Consider the following 13,155-nt stretch of genomic DNA (forward strand, 5'->3'; position numbering starts at 1 on the left):
ATTATTTTCCCCCTTGAAAATCTGTTTATCCTGCCAAAATGTTTTTCTTTTATGTGATTAATTTGCATGTAAACCCTAAGCATCTAAACTTACGCCCCTAGCATCTGTGCTAATGGCACGTGACAAACAGAACTTCTCTCCAGCAGGTTCAGCGAGTGCAGCTAGAGCTGGAGCCGGAAGCCGGGCAGCACCATATGCTGGGCTTTCACCAGATAATCAACTCCCAATCCCTTCTGGGGCACCGTTTGATGAATATGAAATGCTTGGATTTTTTCCTAAGCTAACAAAGGTTGGTGGGACTTTTCAAATCTCCCAAGTCAAGGGATAAAATGGTGAAATAAAGGCATCATACAAATAAGCATATGCTAAACTTGGTATCAATCGTCCTGGGCCTAGGATGCTCTGAAATTTTGAAAAGTGATATGGTTTGGCTGTGTCCCCACCCAAATGTCATCTTGAATTATACTCCCATAATTCCCACATGTTGTGGGAGGGACCCAGTAGGAGATAATTTGAATCATGGGGGTGGTTTCCCCCATACTATTCTCGTACTAGCGAATAAGTCTCACGAGATCTGATGGTTTTATCAGGAGTTTTTGCTCTTGTATCTTCCTCATTTTCTCTTGCTGCCACCGTGTAAGAAATGCCTTTTGCCTCCCACCATGACTCTGAGGCCTCCCCAGCCATGGGGAACTGTGAGTCCAATTAAACCTCTTTTTCTTCCCGGTCTCAGGTATGTGTTTATCGGCAGTGTGAAAATGGACTAATACAAAAAGGAATAATTTTCTTGGAATATATTTGTCTATAAAGATAGAGTGAGGCATTATTGAACATATTTTGGGCAGGGCTCTTTCCCTAGGGGAAAAGATCAACACTTCCTGGTTTTCTCATAGAGGTAGTCATCAAACGGAATCCCAAAATACTGCGCTCTGCACTCTTGCCCTCTAGTGGGGGTGTGGCAGGTGGAATGAGGGCAGGCTGTCAGGGAAGCCTGTTGTGAAGGTTTCTGCATATCCCAAATTAAAGTAAGCAGCAGTCACTTCTTGTAGTTCTAAGATGAAAGCAGCCAGTGAATATGTTTGTCTCCCAGGCCCCCGAGAGAACTGTTGGGAAAATATAATTAAAAATGAAATCTCCTGCTAACCCAGAAAACCCGTCCACAGAATTGGAAGAAAAAGAAAACACTTGTATTATTAAATAAGCATTAGACCAGACTGTGATACTCGTCACAGGAAATCTGCTAAGAGACTACAAAGACAGAAAGAAATCTCACCCTTTTGTACAGCCAGGCAGATACAACCTATTGCATACATTTTCTCAAGATAAATAATAATTGGTCCTCAAGTGAGATTTAACAGAATCTCTGCTAACACATAGTTCATCCTAAATTCACCTGGGAATTCAGGTCGCCTCTAATGTTTGCTGACTGTCTTTATCTAAAGGCAAAATAAATTTTTCCCAGCTATTCCAGGAGGCAGTTTGCAGCTTGGAACTAGGAGCTTACTGAAGTTAGGCTGCTACCCTCCTATGCAAGCTGGGAGAGAGGGCTACTGGCTTCCTTCATTGTTATATTACCAAGTGATGACTCTTAGGTCCTTGAGAGAGACATGCCTCAGTTGGAAAGTTGGCAAAAGCCTTACCTAGACTTTGAATAAATTCATGTGCATCTCAAAGGAGCAGAGAAAGAATTCAAAATTACAAGTTTTTTCATGTAAATGCTTTCAGAAAAAGGAACGTCTGTATTTCTTTTTGCACTAGGAAAAATTCATATATAATTTTCTTATTTTAAATTTGTATTTTCCAGTATGGAACCCCAATTTGTCTACTGAGGACTATATATTTTGTACGTATCTGTTTCCTCTGCTAAATTGGATCTTCTTAGGGCAACAATGTATCTTTATTTACTTTGTATTCTCAGTGCTTTCTTTTCTTTTATCTCCCTTTCGCTGTTGTTGCCCAGGCTCTTTTTTCTCCGTTTCACTCTTGTTGCCCAGGCTGGAGTGCAATGGCTCAATCTTGGCTCACCGCAACCTCCCTCTCCTGGGTTCAAGCAATTCTCCTGCCTCAGTCTCCCAAGTAGCCGGGGTTACAGGCATGCATCACCACACCCGGCTAAATTTTTATTTTTAGTGGAGACAGGGTTTCTCCATGTTGGTCAGGCTGGTCTCAAACTCCCAACCTCAGGTGATCCGCCCGCCTCAGCCTCCCAAAGTGCTAGGATTACAGGCATGAGCCACTGCGCCCAGCCTATTCTCAGTGCTTTCTACGGCTGCTTTGCCATATAAGCAAACCAGCAACAAGCACAGCTTGGTGATTTACTGGATTAAATTTTAAATGTTCTTTTTAATTGCCAAATAATAGTTATATATCTCTGTGTGTGTCGTGTGTATATACATACACACAAGATTCTCATTCTTATAAGAATGAATGGGCCGGCTAAGGAAGAAGAAAAATGAAAAATAAGCATAGATGTTTCAGATGGTAATAAATGCTATTAAAATGATGAAGAGTAGCAATAGGATGGGTAGTAAGCAGTTTGAACAGGAGGACAATTTTGGCTCTGGCAGTTCTCAAGGAGCACCTCTGAGCAGTGGCATCTGAGCTGGGGTCTTATATCATTTATGATGCCTTTGGCTGCAAGTAACAGAAAACTCTGACTCAAAATGACCTTAACAAAATAGGAAAAAAATTAGATTGCTTCAACCAATAAGAAATACTCTAGGGGCCTCTTTCAGGTTTGATTAATTCTATGATTCCATGATGTTATTAAAAGTCCAGATTCTTTACTTCCTGTTGTCACTGTGTCCTCCCCCTTTCAGCTTGTTCCTCAGGCTGTAGCCATTCCAGCAGACATACATGATATGACACTCAAATGCATAAAGGGGAAAACTATTATGGTGTCTTTTTTAAAGCCAGTAAACCTTTTCCAGAAACACCCATGATCACTAGAATGAATCATGTCATATCCTCATTCCTACACCCATCACCAGCAAGAACAAAGTATGTGGCAAGTGGACATAGATAGATTATCTGAATAAAATTCCAGTTATTTTAGAAAATAGTAAAGTGTATGTGTGTGTGTTGAGGCATATAAAAGTGGTCATAGGGTGAGCCAGTGTTAATATCCACTTCTAATGCAGATGATAAGACTCCCTGTTAGAGGAAGACCTGGAAGAAGATTATTCCAAGCAGAGAGCAGCAATTGCAGAACCCTGTTGTGCTTCCATTTCATCCTCCATTATGGCCCCCAGGAAAAATAGATGGACATGGAAAGTGACCAGTGACCACGCCAGGTCAGTCAAATTGTAGGACCAATCACAGCCACAATTCCAGATGTGGTATATTTGCAGGAACAGATGAGCATTGCCTCGGATATATTAGACATTATATGGGAAACTAATTTGTTTAATACATTGTTTACTGGCCTAATCAGGAAAGAGGTTCAGAGACAGATTTCATTCATGTGGAAGAGACAATAACATACATTTGTGGTTTTCACCCAGGGCTCTGTCATCTTTTCTGCCCTTTCTCATAATATCCTCATAAGATAATTGGACTATCTAGGCATACCAAAGAACATCGTATTGATCCATTACTTTGATGATAAACTGGTTGAAGAACATATTTAAAAGGTGGTAGTGGGAACAATGGAAGTTGAGAAGGGACAGTAGAAGAGGTGGAATATCTGTTTTAACCTTGATATCAACTATAGTCACTAGGAATGTCCATCCCACTAACCTCTGCTTTCTAAGTGTGTCATCAACAATGAAGGTATACCATATGTCTGTAAGAGCTCCTCATTCTTCCAGTTGAATAGAAACTTGTATCTCAGTAGCTTAGGGTGGACTATGTGCAACACAGAGGTGTGTCACTCTGATTTTCCTTCAGCACAGGACTTGCTACGCATGTGCAAGCAGTGTGGTTAGGTAGACCCTGCAGCTATAAACTCCTTCAAAGTTCAACTCAGCTTTCACCCTAAGGTACCGTAAGAGGGAGCAAACGGGGCTCACTTTGTGATAATAAATTTAGGTGTTACAGCAGCACCTCCTACGAGGTATTCAAATCTGAAGCAAAGTACTTTGGGTTTTTTATGAGTAAGGATCTCTGCCATAGACTGAATGAGGATTTGTGTTTCCCCAAATTCGTATGCTGAAATCTTAAGCCCCAAGCTGGTGATATGAGGAGGTAGGGTCATTGGGAGGTGATTAGGTCATGAGGGTGGAGACCTCATGAATGAGATTCGTGTCCTCATAAGGGAGGCCCCAGAGCACTCATTTACCCTCTGTCATTCGAGGACACAGAGAGAAGGCACCGTCTGTGAATGGGGCAGTGGTCCCTCACTGACATGGGATGTGCTTACACCTTGATCTTGGATATTCCAGCCTTCAGAACTGGGTGAAATAAGTTTTTGCTGTTTATAAACCACCCAGACTATGGTATTTTTGTTACAGCAGCCCAAACAGACCAAGTCCAATCTCACATTTGGAAATAAAAGATGTTTAAGACTTGGGGTTTTTTTTTTTTTTTGAGGGTGGGAGGTTAATGCATTTACTCTAGGTAACTAATATGTTCATCAAAATATGTCTATATCATTATACAGGTTCTCTACCACTTTAGTGGTTGTATTTTAGAAATTTTTCTTTTCCAGGCTTTAAAAAGAAGCCATCATTGTTAGTTGAACAGAAATGATGCTGAAAATAAAATGATTCTCGTTTTCTCAATTAAAAGATTCCTCAATATGTTAGTAACTAACTTCATTAAGCCTTTAGAGATTTATGCTAGTCAAATATCTGCTGACAATATTTACTTTGTTAATTGAATTCAACATATCTATGTTATTTAAACATAAAGATAATATATCAATTTAATAATTCTCCTTCCTAAAGTGATGTTCAGAAGAGTTGTTTACTCAAATTGGACACAGATTAATTGCAAAGTGATAATTCAGCAGAAAAAAATGCTAAATCTAATTCTGTGTTAAATTTCTCTTTAACTATGGAAGTTAGATAACTGCTACAAGATTTCAACTAGGCAGGATTGAGTTCTGGTAGTTGGTTGTTTCCAACTAATATGTCATCCCAAAGCAACACTTTATTGACAGGTGGAAGAGCTATTTCAGAGACAAAATCAAGGATATTGGTGCTAGATTGGATGTGAACAGTGGAGAACATAAAGGCATTAGGGACAATCCCCAAGATTCTGGCTTGTACAGTGGAACATATGGAGATGCCAGTTACTGAGAGAGGAAACTCCAGTGGGATGGGGATTGGGTATCACGATTTTGTTTGGGAAGTTTGGGTTTGCTGCTTTTTTGAGACAGTCTCCTAAAAATGTCAGGGTGGTCAGTAGATCCACAGCTCAGCAGAGAAGCCAGAGCTGAGCACACAATTAATCAGAGCTGAGCACGGAAATTTGCATGAGAAAGAGAGATATCTAGGATAACTGTATGTCTGTGGCCATGAGGGCCTTCTGGGCAGCCCTCGCAGGATGTGGTATTCTATAAGTAGATGGGTCATCCTGAGCCATGCTGGTCATGCCTCTGGGCTGCAGCTTCTTCATCTAGAGAATGATAATGTGGGACCTATTTTGGCTCATGACTCTGGAAAGAACTTTTCTTGGACATGGCAACTTTTGTAAAAACACTAACTTTTAGTTTCAGGGGTACATGTGCGGGTTTGTTATATAGGTAAACTCATGCCATGGCAGTTTGTTGTATAGATTAAGAATAATGGCCTCCGGCTCCACCCATGTTCCTGCAAAGGACATGATCTTGTTCTTTTTTAATGGCTGCATAGTATTCCATGATGTGTATGTACAAATTTTCCTTATCCAGTCTGCCATTCATGGGCATTTAGGTTGATTCCATGTCTTTGCTATTGTGAATGGTGTTGCAATGAACATATGTGTGCATATGTCTTTATGATAGAATGATTTTATTCCTTTGAGTATATACCTAGCAATGAAATTGCTGGGTCAAATGGTAGTTCTGTTTTTAGCTCTTTGAGAATCACCCCACTGCTTTCCACAATGGTTGAACTAATTTATGCTCCCAACAGCGGTGTATAAGCCTTCCTTTTTCTCTGCAACCTCACCAGCATCTGTTGTTTTTGACTTTTTAGTAATAGCCATTAACCATTCTGACTGGGGTGAGATGGTATCTCACCGTGGTTTTGATTTGCATTTCTCTGATGATCAGTGATGTTGAGCTTTTTTTCATGTATGTCCTCTGAACACTGACTGTTCATGTCTTGGCCCAATTTTTTAATGATTTTATTTCTTATAAATTTAAGTTCCCTATAGATGCTGGATATTAGACCTTTGTCAGATGCAGAGTTTGCAAATATTTTCTCCCATTCTGTATGTTGTCTGTCTACTCTGTTGATATTTCTTTTGCTGTGCAGAAGCTCTTCAGTTTAATTAGGTGCCATTTGTCAATTTTTGTTTTTGTTACAATTGCTTAGGTGTCTTTTTCATAATGTCTTTGCCAGTTCCTATGTCCAGAATGGTGTTGCCTAGGTTTTCTTCCATTTAAGATTAAGGACATTTAAGTCTTTAATCTGTCTTGAGTTGATTTTTTTATGTGGTGTAAGGAAGGGGTCCAGTTTCGATCTTCTGCATATGGCTAGCCAGTTATCCCAGCACCATTATTGAAGGGGGAGTCCTTTCCCCATTGCTTATTTTTGTTGGCTTTGTCAAAGATCAGATGGTTGTAGGTGTGTGAGGACTTATTTCTGGGCTCTCTATTCTATTGTTCTATGTGTTTATTTTTGTGCCAGTACCATGCTGCTTTGTTACTGTAGTCTTACGTTATAGTTTAAAGTCAGGGAACATAATGCCTCCAGCTTTGTTCTTTTTGCTTAGGATTGCCTTGGCTATTCAGGCTCTTTTTTTGGTTCCACATGAATCTTAAAAGAGCTTTTTTCTAGTTCTGTAAAGAATGTCATTGATAGATAGGAATAGCATTGAATCTGTAAATTGCTTTGGGCAGTATGAGACATTGCACTTTTTTCTTAGGAAGTTAGACTTGTTCATTCTCCTTCTCCCATGTACATAGATGCAACATTTTCTGAAGGCCCAGGAAAGAAGGTTATAAAATGTCTTATTTCCTCAACAGGAACATGTGCGATATAATTGCGCCTTAACTTATCTAATTCTTAACCTGCTAATTAGGCAGCTCCCTCAGAGGCCTGAAGACAAAGACCATAAGGAAAATGCTTTTCATCACTTTTATCCTGCAAATTACAATTTAAAGGAGTAAAAAAAAGTGCTCTCATTTTCAAAGCCTTTGTTGAACATTTTGCCTTCTAGAATTTTAACTCTGCCAGGAAATCCTACTGTTTAATGGTTTTCAAGGATCCTGTTTATGGTTGACATAAAACTATTTTTTAGTACCATATGGCCAACATTTATGCATTGTCAAAAATGGCTCAAGCATAAAATTTGATGCACCCAAGATTTGATTTATGGAGGATTGAATACATCTTGTAAGGAACACACACACTCACACACACACACATACACTCACAGATGAAATTATGCGATTCCATAAAATTATGCTTACAGTTTGACTAGTTATAATTGATTAGGACTAAATGCTTTTAAAAAGTCATGTTAGATAAAAGTCCTCTTGGTCTGGTTGTTTTGGTGTCTAGAGAATCAGAGCACTTCTGGTTTCGTAAAATCTCATTGTGGATTTTTGCCTGTGTGTTGTTTCTGTGGATGCATCTCAACAGCTCATTTTTTCCCCAAAGGTATCTAACAACCATGAATTTGTATTTGTGAGTAGGAAGAAAATGAAGAGCAAAATGGATAGGATTGTGGACTTCACGTCCAGCACCCCCGCTCTTAGTTCAAGGTGACCATATGGGTGTCCAGACTCTCCCTGCGGATTCAGAGCTTCGACAGGGAGCTGAGCCAGATCAAGGGCTGGAGGATCTCTGTGGCCTCCAACAGAAGGTGAGGAAGCAGAGAGAGGACTGTGGATCTGATGCTCCTGGAGCCCAGACATCGTTGTAAAGACGGTAAAACCAACCCTCAGGGCCTAGGCCCTAAGGAAGCAACCCACTGTGCATGACAATGGTCTGGGCGTGGGGGTCAGATGGATTCTATTCTGCCACCCATTAGTGGTGATAGAGGCCAGAGGGTATTGGTGAGACAGGAGCTTGGCAGCCAGACTACTCATCAGTCACAATTTGACTTGAGAAAAATTACTGAAATTCTCTGAGCCTCAGATTTCTGATTGGAAAATAGGAATAATCATATTACTGACCTGATAGCGTTGTTGTTAACATTACACAAAATGATGCATCCAAATAATGCACATAAACTTCTCTCATTCTTAACCTACTCATTAGGTAGCTCCCTCAGAGGCCTGGAGCACAGCCCGGGCGTTTCGGAAGAGCTTGATGGTTACCTTTCATTCCCCGTTTCCCAATTGTGTTTTTCTTAGATTAGCCATTTGTTTTCTACTTGCAAAAGTCAACACAAGTTTCCTGAGTGCCTTACAAGGTGAGAAGTAGACACTGTGGTTGGCCTGTCTGGGGCTTTATTTTGGTTCTGCCACTTGCAGTTCAATGAGCCTAGATGAGTACTTCAACTCCACATTTATCAGTTTCCACATTTACACATTGGGAATAAAAGTAGTGCTTCATCTTTCTGTTCTAAGAATTCATAAATTCATACACACACACATTAATGAGCCCATGTTGATATATTATTGAGCTTTTTTTGTTATTACCTAATGTACTTTCAAAAAAAATTTTTTTTTTGAGATACAGTTTCACTCTTGTCGCCCAGGTTGGAGTGCAGTGGTGCGATCCCGGCTCACCACAACCTCAAGCAATTCTCCTGCCTCAGCCTCCAGAGTAGCTGGGATTACAAGCATGCACCACCACACCCAGCTAATTTTTGTATTTTTGGTAGAGATGGGGTTTCACCAGGTTGGCCAGGCTGGTCTTGAACTCCTGACCTCAGGTGATTCGCCTGCCTCGGCCTCCCAAAGTGCTCGGATTACAGGCGTGAGCCACCGCGGCCAGCCTGTACTTTTCACACTAAGTAAAATAAAATGTAGTTACGGGATTCTGACCACAATATCACATTACATTTAGTTTTGATGTCTCCTTGGGCTCTTCCTGTCTGTGATTGTTTCTGACTTGCCTCTTTGATGAATTCACAATATTGAGTGGTACTGATGAGGCATTTTCTACAAGGTCCTTCTATTGGAATTTGTCAGGTAGGTGTGCCAGTGTGTGTATGCATGCATGTGTGTGCTTTCATGTTTAACTAGGGTTAAGGGCTTTTGGGGGAATACCTCAAAAGTAAAATGTCGCTTTCATAGCATCATATCGGGGTACATGATTTATCACTGTTGGTGTTGGCAGTGATCCCTGGCTGAGATGGTGTTTCTCAAGCGTCTCCACTGTAGAGTGACTCTTTTTTCCCCTTTGCATACTATACTGTATGAAAGGAACTCACCGTGCACAGCCCACATTTTCTTGGTGGGGAGGAGTTAGGTATGAGCTCCTTCTTCAAGGGTAGAATATTTACATAAATTATTTGAAATTCCTTCATAGGAAAATGTTGTCTCTTTTCCAACATTTAATTGTGTATTCAACAATTCATTTATATCAGTATGGACCCATGAATATCTAGTATATGCTTTGAGTTATAATACAAGATGTTTTTATTTAGCTGGTCAATATTTCTTTTTTAAATGATTGCAGCTTTGGCCACAGGGAGCTCTTTCACTTAGCCCCTGTCTCCCTTTCACATATTTCCATCAATGTACGTTTTTGAGCACATTCTTACTTTATAGTACTATAAGATGTATGTTCCTCTTGTATATTTCCTGTCCCATCCTAGGATCATCCATTTCTCTCAGGAGCCCTAGCTTCTTCTACTGGAGAATATTACAAACCAAGATCTGGGAACTGGGTTTGTGCTTTGTTGCCCAGTGTTGTATCTTTTAGGTTCTTGTAGCTGACGGAAAGGAAATACACATGTGTATACTAGCCCCTACATCCATATAACTATAAATATTTCTGCATGTAACCATCTGCATCTGCATTAAGTTCAACATGAATTTCTCAGGGTGTCTCCAACTGTAATCAATTCACATGTGGATTGTTTCACCTCTTCCTCTGCTTATCTCTAAAGTCCCGCTCTCAGCCATTTGATTAGTTTAATTGTTCTATGTTAGAATACACATTGGCAGTATCAGAATGGTTAATGTGAAACACATACTTTTTTTTTTTTTGAGACAGAGTCTCGCTCTGTCACCCAGACTGGAGTGCAGTGGCACAATCTCAGCTCACTGCAACCTCTGCCTCCTGTTAGAGACAAACTGCCCCAAAATAACTTCTTGCTACTGCCGACACTTCCCCCAACACTCTCCGTGCTGCCCACCCCTCCCCATTATGCTCTGCAACTCTTTTCTGTGCCACTTACTCTTCCTCCTGAGCCCCTTTACATTTCTAAGCCCTTATCTAGGCACCATGGTGAAGCCAGCAGACTTCATTTATCAGAACTTGCTGCAATAAGCAAACCCCAATTACAAACCATCCAGACTGCACAGGGGAAGGTTGTGGGAAGCATAAACAAACTTTAGCTACATCCTCCTATAAGTTCCTTCATCTAGCTGCTACCAAAAATGTCACAAGGTGACATACGGCAAAGTTAACCAACAAACGACCCCAGGGTCTCTCTCCCCCATATAAACCCCTCATTTTGTAAGCTCAGGGCTGCATCCTTTGACTGTAGTGGAGCAGCTGGCAGGTTCAATAAACTTATTCACCTGACTTTGGGTCTATTATTCCTTTCTCTCAGCTGACCTTACACCTCCTGGGTTCAAGTGATTCTCCTGCCTCAACCTCCCGAGTAGCTGGGACTACATATGCATGCCACTGAGAGGTGAAGCCAGCTGGACTTCCTGGGTTGAGTGGGGACTTGGAGAGCTTTTATGTCTTACAAGAGAATTGTAAAAGGCACCAATCAGTGCTCTGTAAAATGCACCAATCAGCAGGATCCTAAAAGTAGTCAATCAGGGAGGATTGAAAAAAGGGCACTCTGATAGGACAAAAACGGAACATGGAGGGGAAAAATAAGGGAATAAAAGCTGGTCACCCCAGCCAGCAGTGGTAACCCGTTCGGGTCCCCTTCCACACTGTGGAAGCTTTGTTCCTTCGCTCTTCACAATAAACCTTGCTACTCCTCACTGTTTGGGTCCGTGCCATCTTTAAGGGCTATAGCACTCACCACAAAGGTCCGCGGCTTCTTTCTTAAAGTCAGTGAGACCACAAACCCACCAGAAGGAACCAACTCCGGACACATCCTGGGGGCTCATCTGGGATATCGCCATGCAGTGAGTACCATTGGACCCCTTTTGCTTGCTATTCTGTCCTATTTTTCCTTAGAATTAGGGGGCTAAACACCGGGCACCTGTCAACCAGTTAAAAGTGACTAGCATGGCTGCCGGGCTAAAGACACGGGTGTCAGGCTTTCTAGGAAAGGGCTCTCTAACAGCCCCCAACTCTTCAGAGTCAGGAGCATTGGCTTGCCTGGAATCAGCTTCTGCTTTTCCTGCACTTCTAGGCTGAGCCAAGGGTCAAAAGGGAGGAAAGCCATTCACCCCCGGGTTCCCGACAAAAAGTTGGTTGACCCTGTAGCCATGAGTGGAACTCTTAAAGTTAAGTCACCCAAGCGAGATTCGCCCATCTATCCTATCTATCCTGACCCTTGTCTCCTGGGTCCTAATGCCTGTCAGACAAACTTCCTCTTGCCTCTCTTCTCTGAGGCTAGTCCTGCTTCTAAAAACGACACCCTGTCCCTGGTGCTCTTCTAGTTTCCCCTATAAGGATGATTTCTAAAATAAATTCCAGGACTCTGTTCCCTTCTTTAGGCACTTGGGTTCACCAATCAGAAAGACATAATTTTTGCCCAAAGCCCATCGGGGGCGACTATCTGGAATTTTAGGATCCCTCCTCAGACTAGCAGGTTTAACAAAGGCTATTCCCAAAGCTAGGATATGGGGAGCCTCAGAAATCATAGACTCCAAAATTAGGGGAATATCCTTCCTATTCATATGATGAGAAGTGAGGACAAAATGTGTCACTCTTCCAACCATGGAGATCCCTTCCCTCCCTCAGGATATGGCCCTCCACTCCATTTTGAGGCATATCATCTTTATAGGACAAGGGTAAGGTCCCAATACCAACAGGAGAAAATGCTTAGGACTCTAACAGGTTTTCAAGAATGTGTTGGTAAGGGCCACTAAATCTGATCTTTCTCGGTCCCCTTTGTGGTCTAAGATGAAAGGCAAGGGTGCAGGTTTTAGAGAAGGCATCAGTAAGGGCCACTAAATCTGACCTTCCTCAGTCTTCTTTGTGGTCTAGGCAGAAAACTAGTGTTTCCGCTGCTGCTTCAGTGAGCACAACTATTCCAAGCAGCAGGGTCCAGGGACCATGGCGGGTTCTTGGGCAGGGGAAAAAAAAAAACCAAAACTGTGGGCAGTTTTTTCTTTCAGACGGGAAACACTCAGGCATCAACAGGCTCACCCTTGAAATATATCCTAAGCCACTGGAACAACTTTGACCTGCAAACTCTGAAAAAGAAGTGGCTTTTTTTTTTCTGCACTATGGCCTGGTCCCAATATTCTTTCTGATGGGGAAAAATGGCCACCTGAGGGAAGTATGAATTACAATACTATCCTGCAGCTTGATCTTTTCTGTAAGAGGGAAGGCAAATGGAGTGAAATACGTTATGTCCAAGCTTTCTTTTCATTGAAGGATAATCCACAACTATGCAAAGCTTGCAATCTACATTCCACAGGAGGACCTCTCAGCTTACCCCCATATCCTAGCCTCCCTACAGCTCCCCTTCCTATTAATGGTGAGCCTCCTCTAATCTCCCCCACCCAGAAGAAAACAAGCAAAGAAATCTCCAAGGCACCACAACCCTCCCCCACCCACCCCAGGTTATCAGTTTTGTCCCCTTCAAGCTGTAGGGGAAGGGGAATTTGGCCCAACCTGGGAACATGTCCCCTTCTCCCTCTCTGATTTAAAGCAGATCAAAGTAGACCTGGGGAAATTTTCAGGTGATCCTAATAGTTACATAGATGTTCTACAGGACAAACCTTTGATCTCACTTGGAGAGATGTCA

General features: G+C 41.7%; 1 annotated feature.

The window, feature by feature from the left end:
- Positions 7,733-8,629: an enhancer, noted in NCBI's record as "OCT4-NANOG hESC enhancer chr12:128091742-128092638 (GRCh37/hg19 assembly coordinates)". NCBI's record gives its function as "activates a minimal SCP1, AML or CMV promoter by ChIP-STARR-seq in naive H9 embryonic stem cells {active_cell/tissue: H9 hESC(naive)}" and the evidence as "EXISTENCE:reporter gene assay evidence [ECO:0000049][PMID:30033119]".

Source organism: Homo sapiens, chromosome 12 (assembly GCF_000001405.40).
Source record: "Homo sapiens chromosome 12, GRCh38.p14 Primary Assembly".
Lineage (NCBI taxonomy): Eukaryota > Metazoa > Chordata > Mammalia > Primates > Hominidae > Homo > Homo sapiens.